Source organism: Homo sapiens, chromosome 15, assembly GCF_000001405.40.
Source record: "Homo sapiens chromosome 15, GRCh38.p14 Primary Assembly".
NCBI classification, from domain to species: domain Eukaryota; kingdom Metazoa; phylum Chordata; class Mammalia; order Primates; family Hominidae; genus Homo; species Homo sapiens.
Window position 1 is genome coordinate 70477176 of NC_000015.10, and position 19980 is coordinate 70497155.

The 19980-nt window shown below is 52.6% G+C and overlaps 5 annotated features.

The window, feature by feature from the left end:
- Positions 1547-1776: an enhancer, noted in NCBI's record as "active region_9689". NCBI's record gives its function as "activates an Ori minimal core promoter by ATAC-STARR-seq in GM12878 lymphoblastoid cells {active_cell/tissue: GM12878}" and the evidence as "EXISTENCE:reporter gene assay evidence [ECO:0000049][PMID:35858748]".
- Positions 3400-3459: an enhancer, noted in NCBI's record as "active region_9690". NCBI's record gives its function as "activates an Ori minimal core promoter by ATAC-STARR-seq in GM12878 lymphoblastoid cells {active_cell/tissue: GM12878}" and the evidence as "EXISTENCE:reporter gene assay evidence [ECO:0000049][PMID:35858748]".
- Positions 9562-9621: an enhancer, noted in NCBI's record as "active region_9691". NCBI's record gives its function as "activates an Ori minimal core promoter by ATAC-STARR-seq in GM12878 lymphoblastoid cells {active_cell/tissue: GM12878}" and the evidence as "EXISTENCE:reporter gene assay evidence [ECO:0000049][PMID:35858748]".
- Positions 15166-15215: an enhancer, noted in NCBI's record as "active region_9692". NCBI's record gives its function as "activates an Ori minimal core promoter by ATAC-STARR-seq in GM12878 lymphoblastoid cells {active_cell/tissue: GM12878}" and the evidence as "EXISTENCE:reporter gene assay evidence [ECO:0000049][PMID:35858748]".
- Positions 15627-16171: an enhancer, noted in NCBI's record as "H3K4me1 hESC enhancer chr15:70785141-70785685 (GRCh37/hg19 assembly coordinates)". NCBI's record gives its function as "activates a minimal SCP1, AML or CMV promoter by ChIP-STARR-seq in naive H9 embryonic stem cells {active_cell/tissue: H9 hESC(naive)}" and the evidence as "EXISTENCE:reporter gene assay evidence [ECO:0000049][PMID:30033119]".

Below are 19980 nucleotides of genomic sequence, written 5' to 3' on the forward strand. Positions count from 1 at the left end.
ATAAATGGGTCTCTTTTCTTTTTCCTCCCTGGCAAGACTATCTTTGGATCAGTCAATGCCTGATTGGCATGCTCTCCCCTCCCTTCCCATTCCCTCCCTTCTCTTTTTCTCCTCCCTCTCCTATCCTCTCTTCCCCCCTCCCCATTCCCTCCCCATAGCAGCTGGACCCAAGACCCTCTTTTCAGGACTAGGAGGCCGCAGGCTAGCCAGGGCAGTAGGCTTGGGGCAAATGCCTTCTCCTGCCCTCTGTCTTGTCCTCCCTTTGCTGCTCCCACTCCCTTAGAGGCCAGAGCCAGACTGAGATTTTGTCCCCATGTGGGTTAGGGGGAAGGGGCTCCTAGAGCTGTTCACTGCTGGGTGCCAAGCTTCTACCTCTCTAACGTGTCACTTTGGCTGTTCTGTACCATTGCTATGAGGAGCCGTCAGGGAACTCCTGGGGAAGGGCAGCATCCAGGGTCCCTGGAGCTTTTGACCTAACACCATCCTCAGAGCATCCCAATCTTGCTGCAATTTCTAATCCCCATTTTGCAGGAGGCTCAGAGGGGCTAAGGAACTCTCTTCCTGCTAAGTGGAAATGAGCACGTGAAGCTGAGCCTGTTCTATTGCTTCCCGGATCATGGAGGAGGAGGAAGAGATGGAGGAGGAGGAGATGGAGGAGGAGGAGATGGAGGAGGAGGAGGGAGAAGAGAAGAAGGACACAAGGCTCTGTCCCTATCAGCCATCTGGTGCCCAGAGTAGGGCTGTGCCCCTCAGAGCACATGAGCCCTGCAGAAAACTGGGACATGGAAACGAGCCTCCCCGCCCAGCACCCCACTCCCAAGAGCCCACATGGCAGGGCAGGGCCTGGAGACTGGAGGGCGAGCCCCTGAGACCCCAAAGAACATCGACCAGTCCCAGGAGGGCTGCTGAACCCTGTTCAGGCTCCCCGGCCAAAATACCACTGAGGGCATCAGCTTGATGAGGTGCAGCGACTGGGATTTGATTACTCTGGCCCTGCCTCAGGCTTTTCCCACTCTTTCCTGTGGCTCCAGACAGGAGTACCCGGCCCTTCCCACTCACTGCCCCTTAAGTCTCCCTCAGCATCCCTCCCACCCCAGCGCCCCAGCCCCTGCCAGCCACCTGCTCAAGGCAGGCCTCTCTCCCTCCCTCCGGGCGCCTGCCCTGCCCTCTCCGCCTCCCGATGGCTAGGACAAGATGATTTACAAGAGCGTGGCGGGAGGGACGGCGAGCCAGATTAATGCACCAGTGAGCGGCCGCCTTGCTCACCAAACACACATCATGAAAACTTATTGCTCAGAAAACAGCACAACGCCACTAATTCATAAATGTTCAATGCCCCCCACAGTGGAGCAGCCAGGGCTTATCGCCTCCAGGAAAGAGGAGGCTGGTTCTCCCCAGGCCACCCTCCTCCCACTCGCCCTGCCTGGCCTGGTGGCCTTCCCACCGGCTCCTCAGCCAGGCACCCGCCCATGTGCTGAGCAGGTGGTTTCACTTCCTGGTGGTTTTTATTTTATCTGGCCCGAGGATGCTTCTGGCTGAGCCCTGGGTGGTGTCTTGGGGCAAGGAGGTGGCACTCAAGATGGCCTCCAGGCCTGCTCAGTCAGCTGGTCCTCCACAGACACCCAGGCTCAGGGAGAGGGGCCTGGAGAACGGGACAGAGGAGGGCAGACAGAAACCAGGAGGGAAACCACAGCTGTCACCCCTGCACAGAGGGCCTGCCTCAGCTGACTGTTCTGGAGAGGGGAAGACAGAGACAGAAACAGAGAGAAAAACAGAGACACACACACACAGAGAAACAGAAGGAAACGAGAAAGAGCGGCAGAAACAGAGAAAAGAGAAACAGACAGAGAGAGAGAGAGAGGGAGGAAGCGAGACGAGGGAAAGAAGCAGCCAGCCCTTGAGCAGGAAGACTGGCCTTCAGGCTGGGGCGCTCTCCTGGGTGAGGAAGGATTCATCTTGCCTGGAAGCCTTGGGGACTTGGGGAAGAATGGCAGGCCCGCTGATGGTCCCGTCCTGTTTAGGACAGGCAGGAACAAAAGAGACACGGTCCTCACTGATTCTCTCCCATCCCATGGGTCTAGCCACACCTCTATTGTTTCCACAATGGTGGATGGCGTAACCACCCACCCGCCTCGGGTCTCTGTGTGGCCAGTCTCTGCCTGCCCCTCCCTCCCATTCTCCAGCCCCTGCAGACTGAGCTCTCTGGAGTGCAGCTTCCCAGCTCCTTTGCCTGCTGGCTTCAGTTGGGGTTCAGCCATAGGGAGTCGCCAGCAGGAGATGAGGAGGTAGGAGAGAAGTTAGGGGGTGTCTCTGGCATCCCTGCATCCTCTGTGCCCATGCCTCCTCCTCCAGGGGTCCCACTGTCACCAGGTTTCCATAACAGGCCAGGGCTGGTAGCAGCTTCCCACCGTCGCCGGGCTCTGGAGGCAGCTTCCCGCCGTCGCCGGGCTCTGGAGGCAGCTTCCCGCCGTCGCCGGGCTCTGGAGGCAGCTTCCCGCCGTCGCCGGGCTCTGGAGGCAGCTTCCCGCCGTCGCCGGGCTCTGGAGGCAGCTTCCCGCCGTCGCCGGGCTCTGGAGGCAGCTTCCCGCCGTCGCCGGGCTCTGGAGGCAGCTTCCCGCCGTCGCCGGGCTCTGGAGGCTGCAGCGTCTCTCCTTCACCCCTTCCACCCTGCCCACCCCTCGGTAAGAAGTCCCTGCATTCACTCTCCTCATTTGAGCCATCCGAGTGAATCCGTTCCCTGCCAGGACCCTGACAGGGGCTTGCTTCTACTCTACCTCTCACTTCCTCTTCCTCTAGGCCCTAAGAGAGGAGGTAGAGAGGGCAAGGTCAGGTGGGAAAGAGGGCCAGCTGTGGGGATCGGGCAGGTCTCGCATTGAGTACTGGCTGTGTCATTTAATAGCCATGAGAACTTGGGCCAATCCCTTAATTTCTCTGAGTCTCAGTTTCCTCGTCTGTAAAACAGAGATCATGAGAGCAGCTTCCTCTCGAGTTGAAAAGATGAACTAAGACCCCTGTTCGCTTGGATTCTTCACTCCTTTGCTCAGCACGCGGCCAGTGGGGAGTGGGCAACGCTGCAGAGAGGCCCAAAGGCCAGGGCTCCCCAGCCACTGTTATGGGTCCTGCAGAATCCCCCTGCATCTCCTAGGCCCAGCAGGCTGAAGACTTTCCCCTATGGGCCCCAAGTGTCTCAGGAACCCTCACCCCCCACCCCCAGACCTCAAAGCCACAAAGAAAGAGATGACTATCGCAGTTCCTGATGTTGCCCTCAGACCACAGGGAGACAACTGACTCACCCTGATCCCCAGAAATGAGGCCACCCTGAGCCAACTCTGGGCACCCCACCTGCCCCCAGCCCAGGGAGCTCCCAGGATGAAAGGAAGGGGACTACGAAAAGAGTCTGTCTGCCTGCCCCAGTGAGTGGCCTTTCTCCCTGTTTCTGCTGTGTCCCATCGCCAGGCTGTCTAAGAGTAATAAAAATAGCCTCTATGTAGATGCCACCTCTGTGCCACATGTGGAGCACAAATGCAGTGAGTGGGTGAGTGGGCAGAACGGCACAGAGATGAAGAGATTGGTTCTCAGCTCAGCCTGCCTGGGTTCCAATCCCAGAGAGAGGCTTATCAAAGGGTCATCCTGCTTTGATGAGCCTGCATTGCTGCTCAGAACACAGCAACAGTCACATGTCAGCTCCCAAGGGGCCCTGAACCAGCCTCAGTATCCAGGAAAGCCACCCCTGCTGCTTTGTTACTTTTTTTTTTTTTTTTGGAGACAAAGTCTTGCTGTGTCCCCCAGGCTGGAGTGCAGTGGTGCTATCTCAGCTCACTGCAAACTCCACCACCTAGGTTCAAGCAATTCTTGTGCCTCAGCCTCCCAGGAAGCTAGGATTACAGGCATGCACCACCATGCCCAGCACGTTTTTGTATTCTTAGTAGAGACGGGGTTTCACCATGTTGGCCAGGCTGGTCTCAAACTCCTGACTTCAAGCAATCTGCCTGCTTCAGCCTCCCAAAGTGCTGGGATTATAGGCATAAGCCACCACTCCCGGTGGTCCGCTACTTTTTTTTGAGATGGAGTCTTGCTCTGTCACCAGGCTGGAATGCAGTGGTGCAACCTCAACTCACTGCAACCTCAGCCTCCCTGGTTCAAGCGATTCTCCTGCCTCAGCCTCCCAAGTAGCTGGGACTACAGGCGCATGCCGCCATGTCCAGCTAATTTTTGTATTTTTAGTAGAGACAGGGTTTCGCCATGTTGGCCAGGCTGGTCTCGAACTCCTGGCCTCAGGTGATCTGCCTGCGTCAGCCTCCCAAAGTGCTGGGATTACAGGTGTGAGCCACTGTGCCCGGCCCCACTACTTTTTAATAGTCAAAATAATCTGACCAACTGGCCATTTCTCTTATACCATATGTTCATTCACTCAAAAAGTATTTACCAGGCACCTACTATGTGCCAGGCACTGCAATGAATGTAAGACAAAGAAGCAAGCAGAGGCCTGACCACGCATGCCTTGTACATCTTGCACAAGTTTTCTCTTTGTCAAGAGCAGTGGCAGGCATTTTTTTTTTTTTAACAGAGTTTTGCTCGTTGCCCAGGCTGGAGTGCAATAGTGCAATCTCGACTCACTGCAACCTCTGCCTCCCGGGTTCAAGCGATTCTTCTGCCTCAGCCTCCCGAGTAGCTGGGATTACAGGCACCCGCCACCATGCCCAGCTAATTTTTATATCTTTAGTAGAGACAGGGTTTCACCGTGTTAGCCAGGCTGGTCTCGAACTCCTGGCCTCAGGTGATTTGCCGGCCTCAGCCTCCCAAAGTGCTGGGATTACAAGTGTGAGCCACCGCGCCCAGCCTTTTTTTTTTTTTTTTTTTTGAGACAGAGTTGCACTCTTGTCACCCAGTCTGGAGTGCAATGGCGCAATCTCAGCTCACTGCAATCTCTGCCTCCCAGGTTCAACCGATTCTCCCCCCCAGCCTCCCGAGTAGCTAGGATTACAGGTGCCTGCCACCATGCCCAGCTAATTTTTGTATTTTTAGTAGAGACAGGGTTTTGCCATGTTAGCCAAGCTGGTCTCGAACTCCTGACCTCAGTTGATCCGCCCGCCTCAGCCTCCCAAAGTGCTAGGATTACAGGAGTGAGCCACCGCGCCCAGCCTGGCAGCCTTTAAAGCATCATGGGAAGGAAGGCTGCGTGATCAAGTTTGCGTTATTTCCTTGGCTGCAGCATAAAGAACAAATGGGTGGAACTGAACAAGGAGGGAGGGCATGGGGTGCCTCACAGCAATCAGGTGGGACACAGTGGCCACGTGGACCAGTGATGGAGATGGCGATGGAGCTGGAGAAGGGTGGATGGATTGGAGACTAAATTAATAGGGGTTGCTAAAGGACTTAAAATGGAAGGGTGTGGCACAGAGAAGAAAGGGTCAAGCGAGACTCTTGGGTTTCTGGATCCTATGACCAGATGGATGGTGCTGCTATTCAGTGAGATGCAGAACTCTGGAAGGGACCAGGGGTGGAGGGAAAAAGGTCATGACTTTGGTTTTAAGCATAATAAATTGGAGATAATGTTGAGGTATTCTTGAGAAGATGTCAAGTAGACAGCAAAACACGTGAACGTGGAGCTCCAAAGCAAGTCAAGTCTTCTAGGTGAAGGGGATCGTTCAAGGCAAGGCAGTGGATGAGATCTGCTGAGGAAAGAGGTCCACGCCCTGAGAATCTCCAAAATGCGAGGCCAGGTAGAAAAGGGGAAAAGTTGCAAAGGAGCCAGGGAAGCAGTAGTAACGCAAGAGGTAGGAAGGAAGTCAGTTAAACGATGTGTGCTTGAACCAAGAAACATGTATTAAGAAGGACAGTGCAGTGTGAGAAGCAAGGTTAAGGAAAATGAGGACTGAAAAGTGTCTACCAGATGGAGTAACATGCAGGTCACTGGGGCCCGAGCAAGAGCTGTTCTGGAAGGATGCTCAGGCTGACACCATCTTCATCAAAAATTTGCTCCTCCCCTACTCTGCCAGGCACAAGGTATATGATGGTGACTGACAGAGCTGCTCACCAGATCCTCTGGCTCCCCATGTTCCAGGTACATGGTGAACTCACACCTTCTAGTCCCCTCCAGCTGGTGGTGCCATGTGACTAGTTCTGGCCCATGAGTTGTGAGCAGAGCAGAACTCACAGAGGTCACCTGCAGACACAGCATTTAATTGCAGGTGCGAGACCCTCCAGGCTCTGTTTTCCTTCTGGTGTGGAGACTGGTGAGGGTCAAGGTGATGGCTGCTCTCTCAGCCCGAGCCTCAGTGACTGATGAGCAGAGCCTGCTTGCCTCATGCTTTGGGACTGCCGTGATTTTCTTCTATAGTAGCCCACATCCAGCTCAGTGTTCTTCCTGCTGACATCTCTCTCATAGTGGCACAAAAACAAACAAGTAAATAAGCTTTACCCATCAATTGAGGTTTGACTTCTCACAGCTGAGAAGGGTCTGTGGCACAAGAGTGAGCCACAGCCCTCTGGGTGGGAATCCCTGCTTGAGCAGATGGCCTAGGGATATAACAAAAGGAGGAGGTGCACCAGGGAGGAGCGGCTGATAAGAAGAGGAAGGAAGAAGCAGCAAGAAGAAAGATCATTGACAAGCCTAACTGGGAGCTTCCACACTGAAATACGCTTTTCCTGGCCAGGGAAAAAACTCTCAGAAGGCAGGGGAGTTTTCAGAATGCAGGCTTTGTTACTGGGCTGACCTGGGTTCCAATCATGTCTCTTCCACTTAGTTCCTTTATGTTGGTCAAGGAATGAATGATCTCTCTAATCAGTAGTCCAGGCCCCATCATTTTCCTGCTTAAATTCTTCCCATGGCTCTGCAGCTCTCAAAGCAAAGCAAAACTGGAAAATGCATGACATGCAGGTTGTCGCTCCAAACTCCCTGTCCCATGGAAGATATCACCCATGGATCAAAGCACTTTTTCCTAAGACCAGATGCAGCCTCAGAATCTTTCTTAACACAGTGCTTCAAGCAGTCACCACTAATCCAACACAGTTGGCTTTTAAGATAAAATGTTTTTGCCATCTTTAGCCTTCCAAATGTCTATAAATGTTGTAATTTAGGTCCCATCTGCTCTCCCCGCCTTAACTCCCAGAGGTCTTCCTCACTTATTTTATCTTCCAGTCACATTGAATTAGCTGTCATTCCCTAATTAAACCAGGTTCTCTTACCCCTCTTTGCCCTTGCTCATGTTGCTCTCTCCATCCCATTCCACTCCCCACCCTGAGCCCAACCTCAGATTCCTGGAGACCCTGCGTAAGTGTCAGCTCAAGGGTTCTCCACGTGCTTATTGCACCCTGTGTGTATTTCTGGTGGGGTGCCACGCTGGATGGCAGCTGTGCACTGCTGTGACAGTGACCCCCAACAACCTGAGGTCTCCTAAGGGCAGAACCATGCCTTTTCATGTTTAGATGCATCCCTCTACCTCTCCCTAGCACTGCTAGGGAGTCCTCCCAGTGAGTCCCAGATAAAGATGAAGAGAGTAAAGAAATGATGAAAATGCCAGGGAGCAGGCAGAGACTACAGGGCCCACACTCCTCCTCTGTCAAGTGAGGGTAAGGACTTCTCTGTCAAGACTGGCATAAAAGAGAGATAACATATGTAAAACACAGTGCCCGGGGCATGGGAGGCACTTCCTAAATATTTGTGGAGGAAATTAAGGCATGAAGGAAGGATTAAATAATGAAAGATGAAGAGAGGAAGAATAAATTGGAGAAGGAGGAAACTAAAGGCAGAAGGAGAGAAGACAAATTCTGAACAAGCACCTATCATGTATCACGCACTGTTCTAGGCCCCAGGTATACTCAGTGGTGAAAAACAACCCCAGATACATTGCTGCACCTAGGAAGCTCACAATCTAAAAGGAAGAAAAACCACCTTCTTAACCCAAGTGTTGGATCTAGGCCCTGCCATCCTTTCCCAAGACTTGAATCTCTTCCCATGACCTTCAGAATCAAGGCCAATCTCCTTAGCTCAGCATTGCAAAGTCAGGGTAGGTAGACTATGCTGCAGTAACAAACAGCCCTCCACATTTCAGTGACTTACACAAGTGTATTTGTCATTCAGACAAACCCACTGCCGTTCCAGTGTGGACTCCAGAGTGCTATCCCCACTGTGTTGACTCAAGATTTTGGGGTGTTTTGTTTCAGTGGCACCTCCATATGTCATATTGCCCATTTCTCTTCTGCTCAAGACAGTGAGGTTGAAACTCCAAGCCTCATTACAGAGCATTTGCTGGGCTATCTCTGAACCATTGCACAGCCTTGCCTCCTGTAGAGAAGAGGTACAACCCAAGTGTCCCACAATGGATAATTAGATAAAGATACCATGATATCTTTATCTATCTATCTATACACACACACACACATACACACACACACACACACACACACACACACAATGGAATTCCATTTAGCCATAAAAAAAAATGGAATCCTGTCATTTGAAGCAATGTGGATGAACCTGGAGGACATTAAGTTAAGTGAAATAAGTCAGGCCCAGAAAGATACATACCACACAATCTCATTCATATGCAGAATCTAAAAAGTTGATCTCGTAGAAGTAGAGAGTAGAATGGTGGTTACTAGAGACTGGAGAGGAGAGGGCGAGGAGGCATGGTGAGAGGTTGGTCAATAGGTACAAAGCTACAATCAGGTAGCAGGAATAAGTTCTGCTGTTCTATTACACAGGAGGGTGACTATGGTTACAATATTATATTGTATATTTTAGAGTAGCTAGAAGAGAGGATTGTGAATGTTCTCACCACTAAGAAATGATAATGTACGCGGTGATAGATGTACCAAATACCCTGACTTGATCATTACAGAATGTATACATGTATAAAAACATCACACTGTACCCCATGAATATGTACAATTATTGTGTCAATTTAAAAATTAAAAATAAATAAGTAAATAAAGGCATGGACAATTAACAAGAAGACACAGCCAACTCACTCCCACCTTGCCCAGCTGGAAAGTGTTGAAAGATCCTGAGATTCTGATGCCATGAGCTCAGCTGCACAGGAGGGCATGGGAGAGAGAGGCGGAAGCAAAGTGTCCGGCAACTTCCCTTTGGGCCTCATCTTCTCCACTGAAAAATGGGTAGATCTGCCTCTGGGAAGGGTCATACAACTCCAAGCAGCTGGAGTCTACCTCCCTGCAGATAGTTCCTACCCAGGGGCAGCTATGAGCCTGGCCTGTGAAGTGGAGAGAGGGAAGAAATTCTTCTTGAGGTTGGACATTCTCAGCCCATGGCCACCATGTGTCAGCTGAAGGGAAGCAAGCCAGGGAGTTCAAATAGAGAAACAGGAAGAAAGCAAACCAACCCATCTCCCTGGTTTCCCCCACGCCGCTGCAATGCACTAGAGGATGAACCAGCTCGTTCTCTTCACTTCTTTTTCTCTTGGTGGTAGCGGTAGGGCCAGAGGGTGAGTAAGCCAGAAGGTTCCCCAGTGTGGTCTCGGTTAAGGTTACTGGATACTTGCTTCAGTCCCATGGGTGATGAGTTCAGTGTCAACTCACACCTACCCCACCCCACCCCTGGAGGCCCTCTCCTGGGTTTTTCTTTCCTCTCCCAAGTTCAAGTCAAAACATGGTCAACCCCCCACACTTCCCTCACCCCTGGCCCGGCCCAACCAGCCCCTAACCAGAGCACAGGGCGCAGTCCATAACCACATCTTGCAACATGATTCACTGCGTCTGTGGAGGGACTGATGCAATTGTGGGTGAGGAGTCATTTCTACTGATGGGGAAACCACAGCAACCTGGCCAGGGGTGGGAGGGCAATCCATGGGGACCTACCCTGAGACAGGCCGCGATCAAGAACCCTCAGCGTCCCCAGAGCAACCCAGCCACACCATGACTGAGGCCAGAGAGCAGAGGCCCAGGACATGCTGTCCTCCTGCGGAGAGGCAGTAGGCTGGGGGCCGGGAGGAAGGCAGGGGTCTTGGCAAGAGAGGGACTGTTCAAAGACAGCAACTCTTCCAGGAACCCCCAGAGTGATCCATCTTTCTCTGTGAGCAACATGGACGTGTGAGGTTCTTGGAGGAGGCCAGGAAACCACAAGCAGGAAAATCGCTTTCTCTGGGTGCTGGGTCCGTGCCTGGACCAAAGATTGAAGCCACATTGCTGCTCACTGCACTACATGGGAAGCACACACACATGCCTGGAGAGCATGTACTCCCACCGCCAGAGCAGGTGCCCAGGAGACACACAGAACTGAATCTGAAATTGCAGGGGCCCAGCAGCCTACATGCTGTGGCCTGGATCAGCTGGGCACACCTGCCTTGGGTGCCTGATCTACTGTTCATTTCCAATGCCCAGCTCAGCCACCTGCCCAGTGGACCCTGCGCTTATCCCTCTGGCTATGTGAGCTCAAGCCAGCAATTTCCCCTCTCTGGACTGCCCTCTCTCTCTTCCGAACCCTAGTGCTCACTTCTGCAACTTAGCAAGGGATTATATGATGCCCCGTGACAACACTTGCTCTTTCCCTGTGTTTCTATCTTATTTCTCCATTTTCATCATAAGCTATTCTAGACAGGGCTGGGCTAGCCTCGAGAAGTTATCCCTGCCCCACCTCTACTCACTGATCTTGACGCATCTCTGCAGAGGAGGTATTTTTACCCTATTCCACTGAAGAAGAAACTTAGGCCCAGGAGGTAATAGAGCCAACAAGGACACTAGTAAGGGGCAGACTTGGAGCTAAGACTCAAATGCGCTTCAAAACCCCTGCCCAGCATTCTCTCCAAACCCCAGCCACCTAACCCAATTCCTTCATGGAGTCTCCTGGTGAAGGGCCAAAGAGATGAGGATCTCTCCAGAAGGTACCAAGCAAGATGTAAATATGAGAGAGAATAACGTCTGACCTCCCAGATCTGCAGGTCACAGACCTACAGCTCCAAGATCCACATTTTTTAAAATGTGCCACCCCCCATCCTCACCGTCCCTTTGGCTCACAGTCTGGAGGCTCCCTGGAGCACCATAAAAGACAGAACTTAGCCATCCGTGTGCAAGCCTGACCCCTGGTGACCAGAACCTTGAACTGCATGGCCAACCAGGCAGGCCCAAGAAATTAAGAGATCTGGCACTCACTCACTTGCCCAGCAAACTTCTGACCAGCACGGAGCTTATGGATTAGGCCACATCTACCTACCCTTCAGCCCAGGTGACTCTGGAACCACAGGCAATGGAGCCTTATTAACCTAACCCCTCACATGGCTAGCACATATGTCCATGATGAGCATAACTCATGCATCATGAATCCCACAGCCACCTGGGAGGCAGATGAAGTCCTAGCCCCCATCTAGAGAGAAACAAACTGAGGCCAGAGCAGTGAAAGCAATGCTCTGAGACGTCACAGAATCAGTGACAGATGCTACGCTCAAACCTACAATTTTCTGACTTAAAATACCATCCCTTCCAATTTTCCTAACATCCCCACCCTCTGGTCACTAAGGGGCAAGAAAGAGATGAGGGAACATGGTTCCCAGGACACCCCACTTAAAACAAGCGGATTTTTCCAAAAAAAATAAATTTACTTAAAATAGATATACTTATTTAAAATAAAATACATGGAAGATAGCTTTCCCCCTTCTCTCAATCAATAGCCCAGAAGCACAAGATCCTTGACCTGAGAGATTTCAGGTCCAGAGGGGATGGACTAGACTAGGGCTGCCAGGTTAGCAAACGACCATACAGGATGCTCAGCCACATGTGAATTGCAGGTGAGTAACACCTACACCACTTGGGATATACTTATACTTAAGTGTGGTTTACCTTGAAGTTCAAGTTTAACTAGGATCCTCTATTTTATCAGCCAACCCTAGACCAGATGCCACTGGGGAATGGGAGAGAGGGGCAGCCAGGCCAGAGGGGTGCAGGAAGAGCCTGAAGCCCTGCCGCGCGGGGAGAGAGGTGGGAGATGAAGCAAGAGACCTACATGGGAAGGTGGGAGTCACGGAGGCCTTGAGTGGGATGAGTGTTTTCTTGAGGATTATTCTGACAAACATGTGAGGAATAAGCTGAGGGGGGAAGTGGGGACGTGGGGGGTTCAGCTGGTTAGGGAGGGATGCCAGGGTGCCTATGGGATGGCGGTTTGTGCATGGTTGCCTGGCGGAGGTTGGGGGAAGGAGTGGATTCTGGATCCATCCCGAAGGTGGAGCTGGCAGAAACGCCGCCTTCCCCTGCAGCTCCCTTTGAATCTCTGGCCTTGGTCCTTCCCAGTTCTGCCCCTCAAACACCCGCTGGGTTCCCAGCCCCAGTTCTGACTTCCCCTCTCTTTCTTCTCCCCTGTGTCCTCCTCACCCCATTGCACTCTGAGTTAACAAAGGCAAGGAGAAAGAGTCACTTTGTTCTTTCTTTCCCCAGCTCAAGGCCTCCATGCCCCTCAGAGGATCCAGCGATATGGCCCAGGTCCCACTTTCCTGGGAGAAGCTGTCTCCACTTCTCCCCAGAACCCGGTGCCAGAGTAGGAAAGGGGTCCTGCCTGCCATCCCCAGAAGCAGGAGGCTGAGGCCCTCGAGGGGCTATGGCTCACCCCTTCCTGCCTGGGGAGGACTAAGATACCAGCGCACCCAGAAGCTCAGCACTTACCAGCCCCACTGCTGGGAAGTGCTCCCTGCTATCCAACCCCTGTTTCTGCTGCACTTTATACCCATCTCCTCGGGGCCGAATCTCAGAAGGAGATGGAGAATGCGCGTCCTCCTGCTCTAGACCAGTGGTTTCAGATTTGTTCCCCAGTTAGGCCACTGTAGGGGTGGGGAGCTGAGGGACAGGTCCCACTCCAACCATCCAAGTTCCACTTATCCATACCTAATAAACTGGGGCCCCTTGCAAAATTATCTTTTTTAAAGGGATCCACTCGTGAAAATATCCACCCATGTACATGTGAAAACCACAGATAGATGTGTAAGGGATGCTCTGCTCTCTACATAAAGACTCCTCAATTTCAGCTTTCCCAGCTCCATGTCATCTGACCCCTCCTCCCTGAGCCTCTATGCCTCCTCCTGTCACCGTCCCTGAGGCTTGGGCTCACTGACCCTCTCTCTGAAGATCTCTCTATCAGAATCCCTAACACCACATTGGGCGTGGATTATTGCCCCATTTTACAGATGAGATCACTGAGGCCCAGAGGTTGCAGAACCTGAACTGGATCCTGGGGGTCTGGCTTTGGATGCTGGCCCCACATGGGCTTCTGCTGCATCCCCAGCCCAAGCTGCCCATCAGGATACGGACCCAGGGTTCAGGAGTCCCAAGGCTGAGGGTGGCCTGACCCCTTCTGGAGGAGTCAGCCTCAGAGCTGGGAGTTCCCTGGGGGCCATGCTGTCATCAGTGGGGGCCAGACTCTCCAGCAGGGAGAAGAACAAGGTTTCTGCGGTCTCAGCCCTGGAGACCAATCCCTGGTGTGCCCTCCTTCCTACAGCACCCAGGGACCCGCCGCTGCCCCTCACCTATGAGCTGATGGGAGAGAAACGTCCGCCATGCTGGGAGACAGCTTCCAGCTGAGCAGGATGCTCCATCAGCTCTGTCGCTCACCCACACACATGCCGAGAGAAGCACAGCCCAGCTAACAGCAATCTAGTGAGGTCCTATGTCGCTGTCCTGTGCCAACCATCAGGGAGCCCAGAGCCATCCAGTTCAGTGCTTCTTGCCCTTCACTGGGCATCAGAATCAAAACCACAGAGGCTCAGAAGCACCCACAGAGGTTCCTTGACCTAAGGTGAGGCTTGGGCCTCAGAATTGTTTAAAAGTCGCCCCCGTGATTCTCCGGGCAACCAGGGTTGAGAACAACCATCTGGTCCAAAGCGTCCGTGTCACAGAGGAGGAAAGTGAGGCCCAGAGGGAAGACCTGGTGACACATCAAGATAGGGCCCAGGACCACTGGTCTGGATTCAGCAATCTTTGCACCCACAAACCAATGTTCCCACGTATTCATTCAGCCCTGGGTTGTGAAAGGTGCGGAGGGGAGGGGAGAATGGCCACTGTGGAACCAGCGTCTGAAGGAAATTCTGGCCTTCCCTCCTGTCCTCAACCCAAGTCCTCCCTCTCAGATACTGCTCCATGAGTCACACAGTGAGAAGGTGATTCTGTGTAGGCAACCACAGCTGTTTCTCTGCCTCAGTTCACAGTTCTAAGCACCTACTTCATGCAGAAACTCTTGCTAAATGCTTTGCTAGCATTATCTCGTCTAGAAGATCTGCTGTTTCCAGCCAGAACTGCTCCACTTTCACCAAGAGAAAAACACGAGCTGGCTTCACCCGACTTAGTAGTCTTGCCCTGCTTAACACAATCCAAAAGGTCTCTCTTGGACGTTGTGACAGCCAAGAGGAGCCGCAGTTCCTGCTCAAGGCAGGCAGCATCCGGTCTGACTCTGAGCCCCACCATCTGCCTGGGCAGAGCTCAGGAAGGCACAGAGCCAGCCATCAGGACCCCTGAGTTCCAGTCCCAGCTGTGTCACTGGGCAGCTATAGGGTCTTGGGTAGGTCATTTCCTTCCCTGGGCCTAAGTTTCACCATTCCATAAATGGGAACATTGAACTCAATCAGGGATATTGAAATGTGTTTTGTGGGACAACACTTTCTTCGCATAAAACCGCAAGCGGAACACACAGACCCCCATGGGAGTGGTAGAGGAGCAGCCAGGGTTCCAGAGTTGGGCACTTGGCCCCTCCCAGCCACTTGCTCTCTGAAGACACTCCCTAGAACTCTCCAAAGCCTCCTGGTTTGGTCTATAAAGTCTCCTTTGATTCCGTCATGTCCTCCTGGTGTATGACCGGAGACAGGGGTTCGGAGGAGGGCAGTAGGGAACATAGGGGTTCTGGTAAGGTAAGGGACAACTTAGGGAAAAAAAAAAAGAATATCTGCCGTAGGGTAGGGTCCAGAGTTCCTTTTTTCCGATACAATCAGGAGAAGAAATTCCATACTCATTTGGTGTGACTCTAATGGCTGCAGAGGCAAGACGGGAAGGAGGTGACAAGGCCCCCAGTGCACCCAGGTAAGGGGAGGGGGCCCCTGGGAGGAGGTGGGGCCTGCCAGCATCCTCGGTTCACACCTGGAAGAGGTCACCGATCTGTAATACGTAGGCCGGGGCTCCCATCGTGGATCCCCAGGAATACTCTGGTCTGTTTCCTATTCTGTGAGAGGGGCATACCGGGGCTGCTGGAAGGCTATGGGAAACATGCAGAGGCTCAGAGCAGGGCCTAGCCTGTCTCCAGCAGTTATGACTTCTCAGCTGTGGTTTTCTGTGTTGTTATTTTGCTCGCTTGTGGTTTGTAGGCTCCTTTGATTGGGTGGGGGCAGGGCAGAGTCATCTAATTCTTAGAGCTGGTGGAAACCTCATTTTAGAGATAAAGAAAGAAAGTGAGGCTCAGAGAAAGAAAGGTCCTTGCCCAAGTTCACAAGCTGGGGCTCAAGAACCCCAAGTCAGAACCAAGCTGGGCTCGGGCCCCAAACTCCAGACTCCACGAGACCCTCCCCACAGGCCAAGCACAGGCCTCCCCATGGCCACCGGCTTCCTCCCTGCTGCTCAGCCCACTGCCTGCCTGCGTGGACGCGTCCTCCCATACACCCTCCACCCACCCGGCCAGTGGTGAAATCACTAACCCCTAGGGCAGCCTTGGGTTCCCGGGTCCTGATTCAGCCTCCCACTGAGAGCACAACCCCCTGGCCTCACTGTGCCAGGGCCTGTAATTGCTCTAACTGCCCCCTGGGGAAGTGGGGCAGCCTGGTCTTTGTCCACATGAGTCAGGTTTCCAGAGCAGAAACCTCAGGCAGAGCCACATCGCACAGCCCAAGCCCTGCCACCACTCCCCACAAACCACTTCCTGCCCCTTTCCTGGCACCACCGGCCTGAGGCTCGTGGCAGCTGCACGGCCCTAGTCTCTGCTGCTCCACTGGCCCCAGCCCACCCCTAGCCCACTACCACCCCACCCACCCACAGGCGGGGCAGGGCAGGACTCTGTCTGTCCAGGTGGGCGGGCCACAGGCTGGGTCACCCAGGCAGTGGAAACCCCCAGCAGGAAAAGCAGGCCTGGCTGTTCATCAGTCCTGTCACTGTCTGTAATTTGGTTGTCCGCAGGTCCTCCACGTCTGTCCACAGCAGAGAAAGGAATGAAGATGCTGGGCTGGCAGCTCCCACCCATTCACCCAGGGCTGGGGCCCAGCTGTGCCAGTCTTTCCAAAGGAAGCTTCAAGGAGAATGGAAAGAGCACTGGATATAGAGTTAGATAGATCTGGGTTTCAACTCCACCTACCTCATTGCCTTACTGTGATCCTGATCAAGTGATTTCAGTTTCTTCATCTGTAAAATGGGGAGCATAACATCACCCCTTCCAGATGTGTTGGGAGGAGTAACTGAGCTAATACACAAGCCTACACAGTATCTGGCACATAGTAGATGCTCAATAAATATGAGTGTCCTTCTTCTGCAGCACGATGACAGGGGTTCTGGTGAAGCAAGGACAGGCAGCAAAGTGTTGGGAAGAGCCCTGCAGTGGGAGTCAAGAGGCTTTGGATCCAATCCTGGCACTGCCTCCAACTTGCTGTGTGGTGTTAGGCCAGTTGGAGCACCTCTCTCATCTTTAGTTTTCAAGCATAAGTCTGGGATATGGGAGCAGATGGTTTCCAAGGTCTCCCTCAGCGGTGACACTCTAGGACAGGGGCTTGGTGCTGATAGGATAGTGACACTGCTCAGGGTGATGGGAACGGTGAGAGGGATGTGGTCGTGACCATTACTAGGTGCACGGTGCAGCTCATCGGCAACAGTGAAGACAGCAAAGCCAGTGGTGGCCCGGGCTGGGGCCCAAGCTCGCTCAGGCAGGGCCCAGGAGGTATCTCCAAGGACACTATGCTGAACAGTGAGAGTGGCCTGCGCTCAGGACAGGTGGGCACCCTCCACCAGCCAGCCTAGCCTCACCCACCATGCTCAGGAATCAGGCCCTTGTTCCCACCCAACAGGTGAGCACCAAGAGTCCCACGAAAGACTGAGGACCTCCTCTACCTTCAGGGAGTTTCTGCTGATGGAAGACAGACTTCACAATGCATGCTCATTAATTATTAACCATCATAACCACACATCAGAACATTGATTTACTGCTTGAGGTCGTGCCCTGTGTTAAGCCCTTAATGAGCATTATCTCATTTAATCCTCCTGACAACCCGGGATGAGGTCATCACTATCATTATTTCTATTCCGCAGCGGGAGGAAAATGAAATGCAGAGAGGTTATGCTCCCTGGCTCCACTGTAAGCAGCAGAATAAGGATTCCACAGAGGCTCAGGGGGAGCCTTGGGGCCTCCAGAGGAAAGGATCTTTCTGCTGGGAGATTGGGAAGGTGTCCCAGAGGTGGGGACATGCGAGTCAGGTGATGACAATCCTGGTTCTCATTTATCAAGCACTTGCTAATGTCACGCACTTCTAAGTCTTTAGGGGAGATTCTCATTTAGTCCTTACTTCCACCCCTGTGGCAGGTACTATTATTATTCCTGTTTTACTGAGGCACAGAGAGGTCAAGCCCTACCCTGTGCAGGGGAAAAGGAGGCCAAGCAGAGCGAATGGCTTGGAAGGTACCATGCTCAGGAAATGACAGGCGGTTGGTGTGGCTGGAGGCTTAGGTGCTGGCAATAGAGGTTAGAAAGGCAGGCAGGTGGGGCCAGGTCATGATTCCCCCACCTTCCCCCACAACACCCCCTGGGAGGAAGGGACCCAGGTCCTAGCCTCGCTCAAGAAATTGGCATTCAAACTTAGGGGCCTCCCCTTCCCGCCCAGTTCCCAAGGAGGCAGCCTGTTAGTCACCCTGTGACTGATACATTCAGACTCAGAGTAAGCAAACAGATCATAGGGGCCCCTAATCCCCTCACACCCAGAAAGCTGGGGAGAGGCTAGAGAGACAGGCCTGGAATCCATGGCCTCCGGGGGAGATAAGGAAACCTCATTCCACCCTCCTTCCCCAAACCAGTAGAGCAAAATGCCAGCGTGATTCATTTTTTGAAGACAGAATAAACAAGTCCAGAGAAGAGATTAAGTCTTTGTTTCACCCGACTCAAGACAGTTGGAAAAGCAGAATTAGAAATGCTGCAACCCAGGGTTGGCAAACAGAAAATTAGTGGCAGATTAATTTCATTGTCTCACTGGGGAACAGAATCCTGTATGTTAAGTATAGGTTTCAAGGGAGATTAATTTCCCATCTCACCAGGTTGGAGGGAGTCGCCTGCAGGGAGTTCACTGGAGTTCTCTGCCTCTGGAGAGCAGGGAGACCAGTTTCAATGGGGGAGAAGCAAGAATCCCCAGGGTATCACGACGGGGCTGAATGGGTTGCTGGGTCCAGGCCTCTCCTGTCAGCCCTGATAGCTGGAAGGGAAGCTCTGAGCTTTCAGCAACCCAGTGTACTACATCACAGCCCCTCTACATAGCTTTGCCTTCACGCGAAGGTATGCTCAGACCCATTCCTTCCTACTCACAAGCCCTTCTGTGCTCATTCTGCCCTTCCTTGGAACAGTCTTTATCTAGTGTTTACTAAGTGCCAATGCTTCCCTTAGAATCATTCGGTTAACTCTTGCAACAAAACCAAGAGGAATAACCATTATTATTTCCACTTTACAGATGAGAAAACTGGCACACAGAAAAAGATAAGTAGTAGAGCTGGTAAGTGGCAGAGCCAGGATTTGAGCCCAGGCCATCTGGAAACCAAATCTGTGCTCTTCACTTCAAGTTTATGCCGCTCCAAATACAGGGTTTGCTTAAAATGGAGCATGCTTGTACTACGTGGTGTTTCTCTGGGCTATTGTAGTGGCCCGTCTTGGAATGGTCCCCACCCTGCCCATAGGCTCTGCCCAAACTGGAAGCTTCTCGGGGAGAGATTGGAAAGTGGTCATTGGACCTAATGTGGTGGCCCCAGCTGCAGCTTCTACAGGTGGAGAGTAAACCAGGCTGGGCCACGCCAAACCTGCTCCTGTAGGGGGATCTGCCCACCCAAGCAGTCCAGTGCTGGCCAGGAATGGGTGTGCCACTGCCCTTGCTGTGGGGAAGGCAGGGTGGAACAGCCCAGGCTCAGCCAAACCTCAAATGGCAGGCTGCTCCGGCTGCCTCCCAGACCATGGGTAGGACAGATCCAGAGAAGGCCAGCATAAGAAAAACAAAAAACTATGTCTTGTCAGCCAACTGAAGCCAGACCACAGTGTGGCAAAGACAGGAAGGGTTTGATAGGACTCCCAGCTGGGTGCAAGGATGTATGTCTGGTTTCAAGAAGGACCAACGTCTAGTTCTCACCCAGAGGGGGCAAACAGCCTTCAACTTACATGTCAATGCCAATCAGTTGGTAGTGGCTGCTGAGAATGATGCTAAAGTCACATCCTGGCTCAGCAAGGACACATTCTATCATTGATTAGCAATGTCTCCTTGGTTGCAGCATCAAGGTGATGGCACGACTGCAGCTTATTAGCCACCCGTTAGCTCCATAGTATGACACTTCAGACCCTCCCCAACAGCGCCACAGCTTCATCTCCCCCTCCTCTCCGTCCCTCTCACCTCTAGCCCTTTAAGCTCCAGCCGCATCTAGCTGTTTATTGTTTTCTGGTAATAGTCTCAAAGGCAATGTGGACATGCTTTGGAGAGGCCTTTGTTCCTGCTGCCTTCAAAGCCCTTCCACCCTTACCTGCCTGGTGAACTCATTTCATCCTTCAAAACGCTGTCCTGGCATCACAGCCCTCAACCCCTACCTTGACAGAGCTCATCACTTTCTCTTCTGTACATTACAATCAACAGAGTCAACATTGCTGAGTGGTTCCCAGGCCCGGCCTAGCACCAAGTTCATTACATGCATCATCCTTATAACCCTGTATTACCTTCTCAGTTGATGCCCATTTTACAGAGAAGGATGTGACACTAAATGGTGTTGAGAACTTGCTCCAGGTCCCCTAGCTGGGCCATGATGGGACAAAGATCTGAACCTGGCTTGTCTAATTCCAGA